Genomic DNA, 18,421 nt, shown 5'->3' on the forward strand with positions numbered 1-18,421 from the left:
CAGAGAGGGAATCAGGGAAGGCTTCCTGGAAGAGGAGGGGATCCTGGCATCTGACCTCAAAGAATAGGTGGAGGCTGGTTATGCAGATGGAGGCTGAGGCCTGCAGGCAGAGCTTCCTGAGATAGCAGCTTTTGGGGTGCTCTCATGCAGGAACTCCACGGTTTGGGTTCATGGTGAGAGAGGGCCTTTGCCCCACAAGACCCTGTCTGCCTGCCCGCCACCTTGGCCTCCCACGGGTCCCAGGCTGGCCCAGGCTGTGCCCAGCACGACTGTGGGGCAGGATGCGGCAGTCCTTTCCTCTCCCAGGCGTCTGGCATCTCCGCTCCCTCCTGCAGGGCCGGGCTTCTGCTCCAGGGCCAGGATCAGAGGCAGCCCTGGGCGGCCTGCTGGCCCCTGCAGTCCTTTGATCTTTACTCATCTTGCTCAGCAGCTGGCATTGCTGCCTGGCCGTGCCCAGGCACAGGCAGGAGCCCTCAGCCCAGACGCGGTCCCTGGGAGGCCACTATGTTGGTCTGTAGGAAGAACACGGGGCAAGGACACAGTGAATCACCCCGTCTCTCCGCCGTTACCCCCTCCATGCAAAGGGCATAGCAGATCTACCCGACCCACCTCTTGGGCATACTGCAAGAATGAAGTGAAATGGAGATGAGACAGTACTTAGGCCAAGCAAAAAGAGAGGCCAGCAGATGTCCTGGCAGGACCCGAACCTGGAGTCAGAGCCCCAGCTTCCAGCTCAGGCTGTGCCCTGCTGGCACATAGCTTTGGGCAATCACAACTTCTTAGTGCTACAGGCACCTCTCTATAGACAGAGGGCACCCTGCCCTGCCCTACCCTGCCCAGCCCGCCTCCTTGGCTAGCAGGGGCACCGAATAAGATAATGGCTGGAAAGTGCTTTGAAAAGAATAAAGTGCTGCGCTTATGTCAGGGATTATCGTGATTATTAAGGAGCATGATTACCGCAATCCAGAAAAGCCGCCATTAAGGAGAAGGCTCCTGTTCGTGTTGATTGAGTTTCCTGGTTAACTGAGCGTTGGCAGGAAAAAATCTGTTTAATTATGCCAGTCTCCTTTCTTACATTGGTCATGGTGTGGTCTTGAGTCTTTATTTATTCATGGATTGATTGATTCATATATTCATGTATGACTCTTTCCCTGACAACATTCAAAAAAGCAGTTGCAGACCCAGCTCTCTCCTGCCTGGGGTCCTGCCTGTCCCAGGACTCATGGTTGAGTCTCAGTCTATCAGCTGGGGAAAGCAGAGGGGAAAGCAGCTTTCCTCTATCAGGAGGAAAAGCACAGGATGAGGCCTCCCACGTGGCTTTTTCCATTGTTCCCTGCAGCGTCTGATATCCTGCCATGTTTCCTTAGGAGAATGCAAGAAAAAAATGGTTCAGGCCAGGCGCAGTGGCTCACACCGGTAATCCCAGCAGTTTGGGAGGCCGAGGAAGGCAGATCACCTGAGGTCGGGAGTTCGAGACCAGCCTGACCAATATGGTGAAACCCCGTCTCTACTAAAAATACAAAAATTAGCCGGGCTGTGGTGGCGTGCACGTGTAATCCCAGCTACTCAGGAGGCTGAGGCGGGAGAATTGCTTGAACCTGGGAGGTGGAGGTTGCAGTGAGCCGATATTAGGCCACTGCACTCCAGCCTAGGTGACACAGCAAGACCCTGTCTAAAGGAAAAAAAAAAGGTTCAAGAAATACCCTCTGATTGAGATGGGAGGGTTTAGCTAGGCTTTTCTGGCTTATCCAGATGCATCTAGAAAGTGACAGGATTGCTTTTTCTTTAACAAACTTGTCAGTATTGTCGTGGCCAGATAAGCAGCGCTGCCTTCTGGGGGGACCATGAGAAAGCCACCGAAGGCCCCATGCTCATCCCAGGGACACTGCTGCCTTACACAGGCCCCTGGGCATGTCCTATCTGAGCTCGGGGGGCAGAAAGCGACAGAGGACATTCTTAATAAGATGTGATGAGAAGGCGCTGACTGTTAAATGGAACTGATTTGAGACAAACTGGGCCTTTTTATTTTTGAGACAGAGTCTCGCTCTGTTGCCCAGGCTGGAGTGCAGGGGTGCGATCTCGGCTCACTGCAAGCTCTGCCTCCCAGATTCACGCCATTCTCCTGCCTCAGCCTCCCAAGTCGCTGGGACTACAGGCGCCCGCCACCATGCCCGGCTAATTTTTTTGTATTTTTAGTAGAGATGGGGTTTCACCGTGTTAGCCAGGATGGTCTCGATCTTCTGACCTCGTGATCCGCCTGCCTCAGCCTCCCAAAGTCCTGGGATTACAGGCATAAGCCACCACGCCCGGCCCAAACTGGTCCTTTTAGGTCTTCAGACTGAGAGATCTTTCCCAGAATACCTGTGGGCAGCTGGTGCCCAGAAGTTTGGGAAACTCCGCCCCAGAAACCAACAAGAAAGAGTGGACGAGCTGGATGGGGTGACAGAAGAGCTCTTCCAGGGAGGAGTTTCCAGAGATTCTGGGCACCAACTGCCCCCTGGGTATTGCTTAGATGGAAAGTGCCAGCTGGGTGCGGTGGCTCACGCCTGTCATCGCAGCAGTTTGGGAGGCTGAGGTGGGCGGATTGCTTGAACCCAGGAGTTCAAGACCAGCCTGGCCAATATAGTGAGACCCCATCTCTACAAAAAATACAAAAATTAGCCAGGCATGGTGGTGTGTGCCTGTAGTCCCAGCCTCAGGAGGCTGAAGTGGGAGGATCACTTGAGCTCAGGATGCAGAGGTTGCAGTGAACTGAGATCACACCACTGCACTCCAACCTGGACGATGGAGTGAGACTCTGTCTAAAGAAAAAAAAAAAAAGTGCTTCATTGCAGGGCTGTTTGTCAGGGGAGAAGACCACGGCTGAAGGCAGAGGGGCTCCAGCCCTCAGCAGGAGGAGCCTTAAGCCCTGGGAGCTCCTTTTCCCCTTGGGGAGAAGCGGGTGACCATGCCTGTGTTGGGGGCATCCCGCAAGCTGTGAGGGGGCAACGCGTGTTGGGCGTGAAGGAGGGAGAGGGCAGTGGCTGTGGTGCGAGGTCAGGGATGTTGGGCTGGAGGGAATTTGACCTCATGCCCGTGGTTCCCAGTTACACACATATCAGCTTATGTGTAGGTCAGAGTTTCTCAACCAGGGGTGATCTTGCCCCCTAGGGGACACTGGGCAATGTCTGAAGACTTCTCCAGGGGTCACAGCCGGAGGGGGAGGGGCCTAATGACATCTAGTGGGTAGAGGCCAGCGAGTCTGCTAATATCCCACATGCGCCGGACAGCCCCCACCACAGAACCATCTGGCTGCAACCGTCAGCAGTGTGAGGTCAAGAGAGCCGGGTGTCTGGGGCCTCAGTCTCTGCCTGCACCTGCGGGGTTGGGGGCGGCCCTGACCCTGGTGGGCTCCATGCCACCCTCATGCTGCCAGTCTCTGCTCTCCCCACAGAACCCCGACATCGTCCTGGTGCACTACCTGAACGTGCCGGCCATCGAGGACTGCGGCAAGCCTTGCGGCCCCATCCTCTGCTCCATCAACACCGACAAGAAGGAGTGGGCGAAATGGACGAAAGAAGAGCTCATCGGGCAGCTGAAACCCATGTGTGAGTGGCCTTGGCCGGCCTGGCGCCCCCACGCTGGGAACCAGGCTGGCATCAACCAGGCGGGGCCAGGAAGGTCCTCTGTGGCCTTGGGGATGCGGGTCCGGAGCCCCATCTTGCTGGAATGACAGTGGCACCGTGAGCTTAGCTTTTGCCCCACCTTCACTTGGCCCCTTGTAAGCTCCCTATACAACAGCCAGGGCACAAAATGCCAGGCCCACGTGACAGATGAAAAGAGTGAGGTTTGGAGACACAGAGCATGTAGAGGAAGAAGCAGGCCAAGAGTGGGCCAGGACCGGGTCTCCGGGGCCACAGACAGGAGTGGAGGCCGGCTGGGGAGGGAAAGTATGGAACAGGGGAGGGGTGGCGGGAGCGGACCCTGCCTCCTGCCTTGCCCATCCACGTGGGATCTGGGCTTAGCCACCACCTCCTGGACTCAGGGCCTGCCTCGGCTCCCAGGCTGGGTGGCAAATAGATGATGGTAATTGAGCTGGATTTCATTTTGTCAGCAAAGTGGTGCTTTCTGAAGCATCTGTCAGGTGCAAATCACAGAATGCAAAACACCGAGTGAGGCAGGGAAGCTGGGGCTGCTCCGTACTTTGTTGCCGTGGCCACAGCTCCCGGCAGCCGCTGGCGGCTCTCAGTGGCTTCTCCTGCCCCCTGTTCAGCGGGGCTCGGGAAAAACAAACATGGGTCTGGGGCTTTCCTGACCCAAGAAGAGCATGGGGGCTGTTTAGTGGTGGACACGTAGCCCACGGGGTTCAGGGACATTGATGGCCAGGGCTCAGGGCAAGGACCTGCCATCAGCAGGGCCTGAGGGGGTGGGTCAGTGGCTCACTCAGAAGCAGAACTGTCCCTGGAGCTGGGCTGGAGGGAGGAAGCAGCTGTTGGTCACCATATACAGCGGGGGGACTGAAATATTCTTTCTGCGGCTGGGAGGAAAGGTGAAGGTCCTGTGCCTGGGAGGGCCCAGGCTGAGGCTACGGGCACCTGCGGTGATGCTAATCCTGAGAGTCCCCTGGGTGCTCGGATTTAGGGATCTGCTCCCAGCCTCAAGGTTGGGGATGAGGGTCAGGAGGGACAGAGGGGTCTGTGTGGCAAGGGAGGCCCCCCAGTGGGTGACAGCCCTGCCCGCCAAGGGCAGGACCACAAGACTGAGCTTCCTCACGTGTCGTCCTTTGAGCCAAGTACCCCGTGGGGAGGTTTGGACCAGGCTTGCCTCAGTGCTTCTGCCTGGAACCTCGAGGCAGGCAGCCCAGGGACCTCCTGAGCTCAGACCACACCCAGTGGCAACCTTCTTAACTGCAGCCCTGACCACATCCCTCTCTGCTTAAAACCACTCAATGCCCATTCAATGCACGCTCAATGCCCAAGCTCCTGAGCACAGCCTGCAGCCCCCCCACCCGCAGCCCCCGGCCTCTGCAGGACTCTGCGCCCTTTCCACCTGCTGTAGTCCCCACTCCCCAGAGCCTGCTGCCTCTCCACCTGCCCCTCTCCCTGGCTCTGCCTGCTCACCCCACCTTTCCCTCAGCTCTCAGCCTCTCCACAGGCCCTCCCACCACCCAGCTGGGCCTTCACACCCCTGTGCCCTGGCCTCCTCGAGCCCCCACGGGGGAGATGTCAGCTTCCCGCGCTTCATCAGGAGGGGCCTCGTGAGCCTCTTCAAAATGCTGCCGAGCACCGGGAAGCATGGGGAAATGGCACAGCTGCCCTTGGGAAGCCCTCCGGCTCTCTGCACAGTGCTGGGTGTGCACAAGGCCCTGGAAATAGCCCTGGAATGGTGGGGGGGAAGGGACCTGCCCAGGGTCCTGAGCAGAGGACAGAAGCTGCAGTGTCCTGGCTCTGGGAGCCGGGGCTGCTGAGTGGCACTTTCCCAAGGGCAGGCCAGAGGCTAGGAGTCTGGGGCACCGGTGCTGCGGGCCCTGCTGTCAGGCCCGCCTGCCTGCCTTCGTACTCAGTACATAGGGGGCACCTCACTATGCAGGGCTGGCACCGGACACTGGGTCCTGCCTAGACCCCGCCCCAGGGGGCCTACTGATACTTTCTCTGCCGCAGAGCCTCAGCTGGGCCAGCGCTATGACTGCTGACCAGGAATGCTGGTGCCCCCTGGCCAGGGCGGTAGAAAGAGTCAGGGCTGGCAAGTCAGGAGGCAGGTGCTCATCCTGGCTTCATGGCTGCCCCTCTACACAGCCCCAGACCAATGCCCCACCCTCTCTGCACCCCAGTACCCCTTCTATAAAGGGGTAGCAAGAATCTAGCAGCCTCTGCCCTAAGACCAGCACTTCCAGCCATCTCAGGGGGCCCGGCTCAGCTCCTCCACCCCTGCACACCATGTCCAAGGGGCTGAGGCTGCCAGCCTGTCCCATTTCTTGGGAGGTGGAGTCACTCCAGAGGGCTCAGCTTGGTCCTGCAGAAGCTGCCATGGCTGAGTGCACTCCAGGCCTGCAGGAAGTAGCCTGGAACCTCCTTTCTGGGGCTTAGTCAGTGCTTTCAAAATTAGGGTCCTAAGTACTCTTGCCTTGAAAGGGTGACCAGGGTCCAGGTGCTTCTGAAGCTCCTCCCACCCCTCAGTGTTTACATTTAGAGGGGAGTTCCTGCTCAAAACAAGTCTTCAGTCAGGAGGAGGAGTTGCCTTCCTGGCCTTTCTGAGCCTTCTGTCTGCTTCTTCTTAGGTCACTAGAAGGAATTCCTCTTGTCAGATTCCACTGGAAAATGAGGGCCCCTTTGCTGGACAGAGGCCCCATCCATATGGCCGGGGAGCAGCCCCAATCCCCTGGGCCCCAGCAAAAGTTCCAAGAGATTGTGTGAGCCAGAGATTAGCCAAGGAGGTTCTCCCAAGGGAAAAGATGCCTTTCAAGGTGGCTCCTACAGTCAGAGGCTGCTAGCCTGGGCCTTCCCAAATTCTTCTCGACACACACAGACAGCCCTTCTCCTTCAGCCATATGCTCCCCATTTTTCCTGGAGCTGCCCATCCATCAGACAGGAATGCCACCTCCAGGCTGGGTGGGAGGAATTAGGCTTTATGAACTCCAGGGGGTGGAAACCAGTCCGGAGCCAGCCTCCAATGCTGAACTGGAGGGAACTGTGAATGCCTGCTCAAAAATCTGCAGTGCATCAGAAAATTATGTAAAACTACAACAAACTCCCCATAAATCTAATAACACTCAGCTCTCTGGTGTCTTGGGCTGGGGGAAGCAGAGCCGCACACAATTCCTTGGCTCGGGCGTGCGTGTGCACGGCTCTGACAGAAACACAGCCCGAGAAACAGCCCTGGAAATGCGGCTGCAGGAGAAGGCGCAGATGACGATCAGGCTTGGAACACACAGAGGGCACCAGCTAAGTGTGTGTGTCCGGGGACAGCAGAGGTGTGCTGAGAGCCAAGAAGACCTCAGATTTGATTCCAGAATCAGGCGGGTCACCCAACACTGGAGCCAAACACATTAGCTTCATCCCATTTTCACATAAATCGCGTGCCTTCGAAGACTTCACAGTTTGATTTCCTGATGTTTCCAAATTTCCCTGCCCGCCAGCGGAGTTGTCAGCGGTTTAATCACAATGTCGTGCTCCCCAGGGCTGAAGGGAGATGGGTCTGCAGCCTTCACCTCACCTGCTGTGAGATGGGGGCTCCGTGACCTTATGCCCTGGGAATCTCACCAGGCTGATTCAGAGAATCCCATCCTGGTCCTTGCAGCTGTGCCCTTTGGTCAGAAGGGGGCTTCCCTTCCACCTGCAATCTGAGGAATGCTTCCTTCAGATGAAAAAAAACACACACAGAAATAAATGAAGATAGCTGATAGGAATTCCCAGGACATTCCCAGAGATCTTTCCTGTCTTTTGGAATCCCTTCTGTAATCATGAGACTATGGGTCCTGCTGCTATGAGGAAGACCAAAATAACAGTGGCTTCAATGAAAGGGAAGCTCCTTTGGCTTTCATGTCACAGTTCAGGGTTGATGTGGCAGCCCCAGGGTCAGGGATCGGCCACCCTGGCTCCCTCCGGGTGGCTGCTCCCCATTCCTAGGGCTTTGCCTTCTTTTACATGGTCCAAAATGGCTACTCCAGCTCCTGCCATTGCAACTGCATTCCAACCAGTGGAAAGAGGAGAAAATAAGGTGGAGGGTGAGTTCCTTCCCTTTAAGCCCACAACTTGCATACATCATTTCATCTCTGGTGTCGTTGGACAGAATTTTGTCATATGGTTACTCCTAGTTGCAAGAGAGTCTGGGAAGTGTCGTTTTTTGCTTTGTAGTTCCATCCTAACGTACTTTGGGGAAAGAGGTTCTGCATGTGAATCATTCAGGGCTGAGTAGAGCTGTGCTTAGCCTGGGGTGCCCCTGTGGGCTTCAGCTTTCTGGCTTATAGTGCACAGAATTGCCCATCTCAGTCCAAGGCCTGGCAATGACTGTCTGAGGCGCCGTCTGAGGCCTGGAGTTTACAGTACGCAAGTGATCTAAAGCTTAGTATGTCTCATCCTGGAAATTCCAGGGTCTGTTCCAATGCAGCTGGTCTGAGAGAGCACCAGATTTGCACCCAGTAAACCCCCATAGTGTGAGTGAGGAGCTGAAGGGGGAGTCCTCTCCTCCCAGATTAGCCACTGAGAGATGACTTTGAGTGGAGTCGACTGCTCTGCCAGGCAGGCTCTGTGCTTCTGTCCTGCCAAGCTGGCAGGAAACTTGCTCAGTGATCTTGGGCTGCTCAGAGCCACAGTGGTTCTAAACTGCCATGCCCCAAACCTTGCACCCTTGGCTCCACTGGAACCTACAGAAAGCCAGATGGAACCGTTTCCTCGGAGAAGATCCTCTCCCTCTGAGCACCCGTGGCTTTCTTCCCTGCCCATTTCCTGGCAGCCCAGGAGGGGATGGCACGCCAGGCATTTCCCAGCAAGCTGTTGGTGAGGTTGTTCCATCCGGAGTGAGTGGCGAGGGCATGACTTCTAAGCTGTGTTCACAGCCCTTCCCGTGTGGTGATCTTGTCCCAGCTCTCCCACCTGGAGGCTCCTCTTGGAGTGCCCTGGCTGGCCAGATGGCCCTGCAGCCATGAGCAAGTCCTAGGCCTTCCTGCAGGCTTCGAAGGCCCGGAAATCAGCAGGCAGCTCCCCCAGCCGCCTCGGGGTTTAGCTCCACCCTGCCTGCCAGCCCCAGAGCTCCGCTGGCATCAGGCCAGAGTACTCAGGCCTCTGGGGCAGGTGTCCTCTGCAGCACTGGGCGGGCGGCAGGAGGGCTGGCTGTGGAATCAGCAGAGCCCCAGGGCCTACGCCCACACCACACAAGTGCTCTGTGCACCTCCATGCTTCTGCACGGGCACACGACGTATCCACAGGCACGAGTGTGTGGGGATTCAGCACCTCCACCCCCACACTTCCTCCAAAAGCAACCTCACCTCCATGGCAGGTGGTGGAGGCCATAGTAAATGTGAGGCCACAAAGGCCATGTTGAAAGTGGAGGTGGAGGCCATCCTGAATGTGGGGTGGAGGCCATAGTGAGTGCAGGTGAAGGCCCTGGTGAGTTTGGTGGGGGCCCTGGTGAATTGGGTGGAGGCCATGGTGAGTTGGGTGGAGGCCCTGGTAAGTGTGAGCGGAGGCCCCGTTGAGGTGGATGGAGGCCCTGGTGACTGCAGGTGGAGGCCATGGTGACTGTGAGGGTGGAGGCCATGGTGATTGTGAAGGTGGAGGCTATGGTGAGTTGGGTGGAGGCCCTGCCCTGGTGAGTTGGATGGAGGCCATAGTGAGTGTGGTTGGAGGCCACGGTGAGTTGGGTGGAGGCCCTGGTGAGTTGGGTGGAGGCCACGGTGAGTTGGGTGGAGGCCCTGGTAAGTTGGATGGAGGCCATAGTGAGTGTGGTTGGAGGCCCTGGTGAGTTGGGTGGAGGCCCTGGTGAGTGTGACTGGAGGCCCTGTTGAGGCGGATGGAGGCCCTGGTGACTGAGGGTGGAGGCCATGGTGACTGTGAGGGTGAGGGCCCTGGTGAGTGGTTGGAGGCCATGGTAACTGTGAAGGTGGAGGCTGTGGTGAGTTGGGTGGAGGCCCTGGTGAGTTGGGTGGAGGCTCTGGTGGGTTGGGAGGAGGTCCTGGTGAGTGTGAGCAGAGGCCCTGGTGAGGTAGAGGCCCTGGTGACTGAGGGTGGAGGCCATGGTGACTGTGAGGGTGAAAGTCATGGTGAGTTGGGTAGAGGCCATGGTGACTGTGAGGGTGGAGGCCATGGTGAGTGGGGTGGAGGCCACAGTGAGTTGGAATGGAGGCCCTAGTGAGTGTGAATGGAGGCCCTGTTGAGTTGGGTGGAGGCCCTGGCAAGTGTGGGCTTGCTTGTGCTGTCATGGCCCCCACAGTCCATCTCCCCTAACACACTGGTCCTCACCTGCAGCCTGTTGGTTTTCCAGGGGCCAGGGTGTCAGTCCTGCCAGCCTTCAGCATCTGTAAGGCAGTGCTGCCGAGACACCACACCGTTTCCAGTACCGGGCCTCGGATGGGGTGGCTGCAAACGGGCCCCTCATTGCTGAGCAGTGGCTGCAGTGGCAGAGAAATCTGCTCAGAGCGGCTGCTTAGCCAGCACCTGCTCTCCAGGGACCCAGCTCAGGCTGGGAGAGGTCGCAGAGCCCAGGATCCCCAGACCCCCAGCCTCCCTCCCTCTGTTCCGGAGGCCCTCGCTGTTGCCAGTACCCAAGCCTGGGGTTGTATGTTCAGTGCGCCTTTTGTTTTCTCATAATTTTTCAGACAAAGACCAAAGATCCAGAAGGGGGGGGGGCTGTGTTTATTTGTTTTGTTTTTTGCTTAGATTGTAATCCTGGTGATTATAGAATATCAAGAAGGAAAATCAACAAAGCCTTCCTTCCTGGGGCTCGCGGAGCCGTTCCTGGTCGACCAGCGCCACCTGGTGGCCAGTGGCAGCGGCCCCGCTCGGAGATGGGAGCCCCAGGGAAGCCTGACTCCCCGGTCCAGGCCACCTGGAGCTTGCAGGCGGGGGCCTGTCCCACCCGCGCCTCTGGACCTGGTGTCTGAGATGTGCTAGGAGGCTGTTTGGGGACCTGCTCTGTAATTCTGGAGTGGTGGGGCTTGGGGTGGGGCTGGAACTAGCAGCAGGAGACCCTAGGGAGAGGTGCCTGTGCCCACCTTTTTTCCTCTCCAGCTCAGTCGATCCTGATCCAGTATCACCTGGCTGGCTGGGGACGGCGGGCTGGGAGCTCCGAGCCTGACTAGGAACAGGTATCCCTAAGGCTCAGCCAGAGCCCATCGAGGAAGGACAGCAGCCAGCCTAAAAGTCCGGACGTAGTGGCTTACGCCTGTAATCCCAGCACTCTGGGTGGCCGAGGCAGGAGGGTTACTTGAGCCCAGGAGTTCAAGATCAGCCTGGGCAACATGGCGAGACCCTGTCTCTACAAAAAATAGAAAAATTAGCCAGATGTGGTGGTGCACACCAGTAGCCCCAGCTACTTGGGAGGCTGAGGTGGAAGGATCACTTGAACCTAGGGAGTTCAGGGCTGCAGTGAGCTGAGATGGCGCCACTGCACTCCAGCCTGGGTGACAGAGCAAGACCTTGTCTAAAGAAAAGAAGAGAGAGAAGAGAAGAGGGCTGGACATGGTGGCTGACACCTTTAATCCCAGCACTTCGGGAGGCTGAGGCAGGTAGATCACCTGAGGTCAGGAGTTTGAGACCAGCCTGACCATGTGGTGAAACCTGTTTCTACTAAAAATACAAAAATTATCTGGGCATGGTGGCAGGTGCCTGTAATCACAACTACTTGGTAGGCTGAGGCAGGAGAATCACTTGAACCCAGTAGGTGGAGGTTGCAGTGAGCCAAGATCGTGCCATTGTGCTCCAGCCTGGGCAACAGAGTGAGACTCCACCTCAAAAAAAAAAAAAAGAGAGAGAGAAGGGAAGAGAGCTGCAAAAACTTTTCCCCCATGGAGCTACAGGTGTGGGCACAGTAAGGAGTGGGGGGATCAGCCCCGGGTGGGAGAGAGAGGGGGTGTTGTTAGAGGGACTCTTTCTGGCCAGCAGTGTTCACTTAGAGGCGTGTTCCAGGGTCACTACCTCTGAGCAGAGACTTCTGGGATAGGAGCAAATGGCTGAATGTCAGGAGTGAGCTCGGGCCCCCCAGGCCACCCAGTTCTGGGGCTCAGAGGGAGCCGAGCCGGCTGCAGTCTTACCCTGGAATCCACCAAGGTCCCAGAAAGCCTGAGCAGAGACAATGGTTCCCCCTCAGAACCACCTGGGAGGGGCTGAAAGGCAGGCCCTTCCCCAGACATTCTGACTCCCTGGGTCTGGAGTGGGCTCCAGACACTGAGTTTTTTATGAAGCTAGGTTCTTGTGCTGGGGTCCCCAGGACCATACTTTTTAAGGAACCCCGGCCTATAGCAGCCTCTGGCGAGAGGCCAGCCAAGAGCAGGACCAGCACCTCTTTGGGCCACAGGCCTCCTTTCTCACATCCAGGTGCGAGGAGGGCAGGCGTTGGAGGCCACACGGAGCTTAGTGTAGCCACACTCCCAGAGGAAGCCAGTCCCCAGCATGCACTAAGTACTGGGTGTACCATTTCTGGATGTTCCAGGACTGTGTGAGGACTTTCCGTAGACTCTGGGTTAAGAAATACGACTCTAGAAGTTTCCTTGTTTTGCAGCTGAGGTGTTGGTGCCGGCACATGGTGGAGCCTTGCCAGACACTTGTTGACTTGCACTTGTGAGAAACCCTGGAGTTGCATAAGAGGAAGCACATCTGTGTCCCCACGGCAGCCCAGACAGCAGCTCGGTCCCTGAGAGCAGAGGCCCGGCTCCCTGCCTGCATCTGCGGGGCCTGGGAGTCATGGGGGAGGCAGCGATAGCGCTGGGGGTTCCTGGAGAGGATTTCCTCTGCCTTTTACCCTTCCCTTTGGGAAGGAGCTGCTGCCATGAGGAGCAGGCAGGGCAGGTTCCTGGAATCTCCAGGTGGGTCCCAGCCCTCTTCCTGGCTCCTGCCAGAATGCCTGCAGCCCCCTTCCAACCTGGCATGGAGGACAGCAGAGGGTGGGCACGGAGAGGCTGACTTGAGTGTGGGGCTTCCTTCCTACTTTGCTCCAGGATCCAGGTTTGTTTTGCAAATGTTGGTTTCTCACTCCAGCTAGTTTTATGGAGCCGATCCGGCCCCCAAGGAGGACTGGAAGAGAAATACTGCTTTTGATTTCCTGTCTCTCCTGGCGTCTTGCTGCCCAGGGCCGCTTCAAGGCCGCATAGCTGCTTCCGTGACAGGAGATCCCCCTTTTGTGGAGTGCGCCCCTGTGCTGGTGTTGGGGATACAGGACCCCACCGACGTCCTGGGCCCTGACTGCTATGCAGAGCTGATGCTGAGCCCTGCTAGGTGCCAGGGAGTGGTTCTGTCAAAGTTAGAATTCATTGCCAACATTCAAATCTCCAGATTTTCAGCCTCTCTTTAAAAATGGAAGGCTCCAGGCCAGGTAGTTGGGAGCTCAGAGGCGGCTGCTCTGTGGACCGAGCCTGGCTTCCTGCGGCGCTACCTCCCCACACACCAGGAGGCACCTGAGTCCAGGAGGCCCTAGAGCAGTCTTACCAGGAGCAAGATGGAAGCATCCAGAATCCCACTTGGTCCCCCACCCCTCTTTCCAAGTGGCCTGGAGGGGCAGATAACCCTGAGGCTCTGACGCTGCCAGGCGGCCGGCACTCCTAGCGCACTCACACTTCACCCACGGTGCAAAGAATTCCCAGCCTGGTAACAATGCCGCTTCGCACATCAGGAGAAGATTCCGAGAGCCTCAGGATGGCTCTAAAGTGCCACTTTGTATGTCACTGAGCACCTTGGAGATTTCCTGTGAGGCCAGTTACAGGGGTAAAGGACATGCCACCCCACACGCTCTGTATTTCCTGATGATGGAGTCACTGGCCGGGCTGGAATGGCGCCTCTCCCTACCCCTCATTGACAATGTCTGTCCCACTTGCAAGAAGAAAGAATACGGGAAGGTCAAGCTCTCAACACCCTGGCAGTCTGCTGGACCCTCCACCCCCGCCTTTTCCAGAGGACGTGTGATGTTGGGACGAAGCCCATGCCCCCTGGCAGAGGGAGGACTGTGATGCCCCAACAGCGAGCACCAGAAATGACAGGCTCACTGGGGACACGGCAGATAGGTCCCCGCATGTGCACACGGTGGGCGCACACTCCATCCCGTCCCCCCTCAGCCTCTGCGCTCCTCGAAATGAGATTTCTGAAAATTTTGTCCTCAGGACCAATAGGCGAATGAGAGTTGAGTGGTGAGATCGGGAAATTGAATAGTATGTGGGTGTCTGGATATGAGAAGTTAAATCTAATGAAAATTTCATCCAGTTGAACCAAGAAATCAGAAACAGGGCCTTTATTCCTGTCAACAAGAATACAGTGAAAATTAAACCAACCCGGCTGCCATTTCCCATTGACCTTGTCGCCATGGAGACAGCCTTCTAGTGTCAACAACACCGAGGACTCCGAAGGGGCCTCATTCACTCCAGGAGAGGCACGTGGCCGCTCCCTCTCCCGTCCGCCTCCGGCACGTGGTTCATAAGGAGAGCAGCCACACGTCCAGGGTTGCTGGAGAGCAACCCAGCCTATACCAGCACCTGGACAAATGACCACAGCACCCTTTGTTGGCTCCCAAGGTGACCTGGCTTGACTAGTTAAATGGCCACCCTCTTTCTGGGTCTTTCTTGGGTGGCAGGGTACCTAGGTGGGTGGACTGGACGAGCCCAGATGGAGGAGGAGGACAGGGCCCCCCACAGCCCTCCAGAAAAGGACACTGCCCCTCGTCCTTGCCACCTGCTCATCACAGCACCCAGAAATCTCTTCTCATGCAAAGGAAGGCCAAGCGTCGATTCCAGCAGGTGCCGCCTGTACAGTTACCATGGTGACCAAAGCTCCAGGTGGCCTTGCCCTGTCATCCTTCCAAGAGTTACTGCCCCACAGAGCAGAGGGGACAGGTAGCTGGTTCTCACCCGTTCCAGGAGCCACCAGGGGCTGAGGCAGACTTCTGGAGTTCTCTCTGTCTCCTCGTCCAATTCCTTTCCAAAGTCTTCCAGGCAGGACTGCGGAGCAGAGAGCTTCCCCTCTTGTGAGGCTTTCCACCCTGGCCTGGGCAGATCTCCTGTGGATGCCATCACATCAGAATCCAGGGGTGGGGCCACCTACCTGGATAGGGCCCAGTGGCATACAGTCAGGTGAACTGGCAAGAGGCAACCACTTTCCAGATGAAGAAACTAAGATCCAGAGGAAACAAAGATCTTGTTCTAAGATCACACAGTGCATGAGGGAAACAGCTGCGGCCACATGGGGGCCCCGACCCCAGGCCAGCACGGTGCTGCCACCCGGTCTCCCACTGTTTCTAAATTCTCGCCTCTTCTTCCCACATAGCCAGCACAGGGCATCGCACTTGGAGGTTTTCCCTGCCCTTTGGGAAAGCCCCACCACTGCATGGGACAGCCATGTCAGGAATGAAAGACAGCCAAGACGAAGCTGCCCCTCAGCCCCCTGCCATCCCTCAGGGGGTCCCCTCCCACCCCCACCATACCCCAAATGAGGAGGCCCTGTCGTGGAGCCAAGCATTGCCCCCACACATCCTGTACCGTCTGGAATGAACCCTTCTTAGCTTCTTTGGGTTTTTATAGAAATTCCCCCCAAATGCACCTCTAACCAGGCACAAAGCCTGCTGCCGTGACAAGACCAGCACATGCCTCAGGGAAGCCCCAGCTCCCAGGCTTGGATGCAGCGTTGCTGAGATGTCCTCCTTGCAGCAGCCTCCCAGGTTTTCTTCCCCCTTCCTCTCCTGCTTGCTCTGATTTTCCAAGAGCAAGTCCCCATCAGGCCCTGCCTCCCAGTTCCTCCCGTGGGAGGCTCAAGGACGAGTTTCTTCTGCCCTGGTCTGGGTGGCTTGGCCAGATGAGTGACAGCTGACCTGACCCCGAAGTGAGGAAATCCCAAGTGGGGAGCCAGGGACTCGGGAGCTTCTGCCCACTAAGGCCCCAGCCAGCAAGGCCTGGCCCCTCTGAGACAGCCCAGCATCTGCGAAGTCAGGGAGGGCAGGAGACGAAGCTGGGCATCAGCTTGGGATGACAGCATGTGGTCCAGCACCAGGACCCTGAGTTTCCTGCACAGTCACCAGCCCCTGGTGAAGGGGCCGAGGGAAACCAGACTTCCCTCCAGGAAGTGAAGTGAGTCTTGCTGCTCACGGCCAGCACCCTCTACCTCCAGATGGGGTCGCTTTTCTCCTCTGCCCACCACCGAGCTGCTGTCCAGTCTTCCTCACCTCCTCCTAGGAGCTGGTCCTGGCAGAGCTGAAAGCCAGGCAGGTCGCCCAGTGGAAAGAGCTTGAATCTGCAGCCCCTCCTCACCCCCTACGCACCTGCTGTGTGACCTTGGGCAAGTTACATAACTTCTCTGAGTCTCGGTTTTGGCATTAATAAAATGGGATAATATATTCTGCCTCAAGGGATCACTGGGAGGTTAAAGATGTCATCTCTAGACCTGAGCTTCTCAAACTTGAGTGTGCCTCGAAGGCCTATTAGGACGTGGATGCTGGGCCCCAAACCCCAGCGTTTCTAATTCTGCAGGTTGGGGCGGGGCCTGAGAATGTGCGTTTCTAACAAGTGTCAGGTGATTCTAGTGCTGCGGGGGCCACACTTTGAGAACCACTGCTCCACAGGAGAGTGTCTGGCCCCGTGCCCTGCCCACAGCAGAGGCTCAGTGGAGTACATAGTATTGTTATTATTTTTTTCCCCTTCTTTTTTTGAGACAGGGCCTCACTCTGTCACCCAGGCTGGAGTGCAGTGGCCCGATCACAGCTCACTGTAGCCTCGACCTCCCTGGGCTCAGGTGATCCTCCTGCCTCCGCCTCCCATGTAGCTGGGATTACAGGTGCCCACCACCACACCAGACTAATGTTTTTATTTTTTGTAGAGACTGGGTCTCGCCATTTTGCCAAGGCTGGTCTCAAACTCCTGGGCTCAAGTGATCCACCCTCCCCAGCCTCCCAAAGTGCTGGCATGAGCCACCACACCTGGCCTTGTTCTTTTTTTCTTTTTGGAGTCAACATATGAAGATGCTCACATACTGCCTGGCATGGAGGATATGTCCAATAACTATCATTGTTTTTGTTGTTATTACTGAGACATGAGCTCTGCTTATAGCTCACTGAGGGAAATGATGAACCAATTAAAAAAAAAAGTGCTAGGGAGGGCATGATTGAGAAATTGGCCATTCACTCATTCACTCTACCAGCCTTTATTAAGCATCTACTATGTGCCAGGCATTGTTCTGAGGATGGGAGATGAGCAGTGAACAGCTTGGCAAGGCCTGCCCTCAGGATCCAAACTCCAGCTCCTAGGGACAGGCATGAGCAGCCAGGAAGGCTATTGTGATTTCTATACCCATAGTTCTCAAACTGGAGCATGCATTTGAATTCCCACGAGGGCCCCTTAGGACACAGGTGCTGGGCCCCATCCTGAGTCTGTGATTCGGTGGGTTTGGGGAGGGCCTGAGAATGAGCCAGAGGCGGGGGCTTGAGCTGGGCTGTGCTGGAAAGAAGGGTGGCATTTAAAGTGGTAGAAGGGCTAGGCGTGGTGGCTCACACCTGTAATCCCTGCACTTCAGGAGGCCGAGGTGGGTGTATCACTTGAGGTCAGGAGTTCAAGACCAGCCTGACCACCATGCTGAAACCCTGTCTCTACTAAAAATACAAAACTTAGCCAGGCGTGGTGGCGCACACCTGTAGTCCAGCTACTCAGGAGGCTGAGGCATGAGAATTGCTTGAACCCAAGGGTCGGAGGTTGCAGTGAGCTCAGATTGCACCACTGCACTCCAGCCTGGGTGACAGAGTGAGACCCTGTCTCAAAAAATAAATAAATAAATATATTAAAAATAAAGTGGTAGAGGAGAGAGGCATTCTGGAAAGCCCCTGATGTCAGAACCCCTTGAACTGTACACACACACACCCCTATACATACACACACCTATACACACATACACTCCTATACACACAAACACACCCATCTATACACACACCGGCACACACCTATACACACACACCTATACATACACACAGCTATACACACACACTCCTATACACACAAACACACCCATCTATACACACACAAGCACACACCTATACACACACACCTATACACACACTCCATGCACACAAACACCCCTATACACACAAACACACCCACCTATACACACACCCACACACCTATACACACACATATACAAACACACCCACCTAAACACACACCTATACCCACACACCTATACACACACCCACACACACCACACACACCCCTATACACACGAACACACCCACCTGTACACATACCCACCTATACACACACATCTATACACACAAATACATCTATACACCCACAAACACACCCATCTATACACACACAAGCACACACCTATACACACACAAACACACCCACCTATACACACACACCTATACACACACCCACACACACCTATACACACACCCCTATATACACAAACACACCCACCTATACACACACCTATACAAACACACCCACCTATACACACACACCCACCTATACACACACACCTATACACACACCTATACACACACCTCTATACACACAAACCCACCTATACACACACCTATACACACCCACACACACCTATACACAAACACACACCCCTATACACACAAACACACCCATCTATACACACACACACCTATACACACACACCTATACACACAGACCCACCTATACACACCGTTATACACACACACACCTATACACACACACCGTTATACACACCTATACACACAAACCCACCTATACACACACCCTTAAACAAACACACCCACCTATACACACACACGT

At 56.1% G+C, this 18,421-nt stretch overlaps 1 protein-coding gene across 24 annotated transcripts in view, besides 7 other annotated features; it reads left to right on the top strand.

The window, feature by feature from the left end:
• Positions 1-18,421, top strand: part of CAMTA1 (calmodulin binding transcription activator 1) — a 984,253-nt gene that overhangs the window by 851,513 nt on the left and 114,319 nt on the right. For all 24 annotated transcript variants that reach the window (XM_011541084.3, XM_011541083.3, NM_015215.4 and 21 more), the window contains one exon: positions 3,434-3,587. In XM_011541084.3, the coding sequence (XP_011539386.1) occupies positions 3,434-3,587 (154 nt within the window). The remainder of the gene's footprint in view (positions 1-3,433; positions 3,588-18,421) is intronic.
• Positions 3,452-3,592: a silencer, noted in NCBI's record as "fragment chr1:7700478-7700618 (GRCh37/hg19 assembly coordinates)". NCBI's record gives its function as "represses an EF-1alpha promoter that drives an FKBP-Casp9 reporter gene in an ReSE screen in HepG2 liver carcinoma cells {active_cell/tissue: HepG2}" and the evidence as "EXISTENCE:reporter gene assay evidence [ECO:0000049][PMID:32094911]".
• Positions 3,452-3,989: a biological region, named in NCBI's record as "H3K4me1 hESC enhancer GRCh37_chr1:7700515-7701015".
• Positions 3,489-3,989: an enhancer, noted in NCBI's record as "H3K4me1 hESC enhancer chr1:7700515-7701015 (GRCh37/hg19 assembly coordinates)". NCBI's record gives its function as "activates a minimal SCP1, AML or CMV promoter by ChIP-STARR-seq in naive H9 embryonic stem cells {active_cell/tissue: H9 hESC(naive)}" and the evidence as "EXISTENCE:reporter gene assay evidence [ECO:0000049][PMID:30033119]".
• Positions 5,091-6,059: an enhancer, noted in NCBI's record as "H3K27ac-H3K4me1 hESC enhancer chr1:7702117-7703085 (GRCh37/hg19 assembly coordinates)". NCBI's record gives its function as "activates a minimal SCP1, AML or CMV promoter by ChIP-STARR-seq in primed H9 embryonic stem cells {active_cell/tissue: H9 hESC(primed)}" and the evidence as "EXISTENCE:reporter gene assay evidence [ECO:0000049][PMID:30033119]".
• Positions 6,845-7,345: an enhancer, noted in NCBI's record as "H3K4me1 hESC enhancer chr1:7703871-7704371 (GRCh37/hg19 assembly coordinates)". NCBI's record gives its function as "activates a minimal SCP1, AML or CMV promoter by ChIP-STARR-seq in primed H9 embryonic stem cells {active_cell/tissue: H9 hESC(primed)}" and the evidence as "EXISTENCE:reporter gene assay evidence [ECO:0000049][PMID:30033119]".
• Positions 13,737-14,238: an enhancer, noted in NCBI's record as "H3K4me1 hESC enhancer chr1:7710763-7711264 (GRCh37/hg19 assembly coordinates)". NCBI's record gives its function as "activates a minimal SCP1, AML or CMV promoter by ChIP-STARR-seq in naive H9 embryonic stem cells {active_cell/tissue: H9 hESC(naive)}" and the evidence as "EXISTENCE:reporter gene assay evidence [ECO:0000049][PMID:30033119]".
• Positions 14,239-14,738: an enhancer, noted in NCBI's record as "H3K4me1 hESC enhancer chr1:7711265-7711764 (GRCh37/hg19 assembly coordinates)". NCBI's record gives its function as "activates a minimal SCP1, AML or CMV promoter by ChIP-STARR-seq in naive H9 embryonic stem cells {active_cell/tissue: H9 hESC(naive)}" and the evidence as "EXISTENCE:reporter gene assay evidence [ECO:0000049][PMID:30033119]".

The sequence above is a fragment of the Homo sapiens genome, chromosome 1 (genome assembly GCF_000001405.40).
Source record: "Homo sapiens chromosome 1, GRCh38.p14 Primary Assembly".
In the NCBI taxonomy this organism is placed as follows: Eukaryota; Metazoa; Chordata; class Mammalia; order Primates; family Hominidae; genus Homo; species Homo sapiens.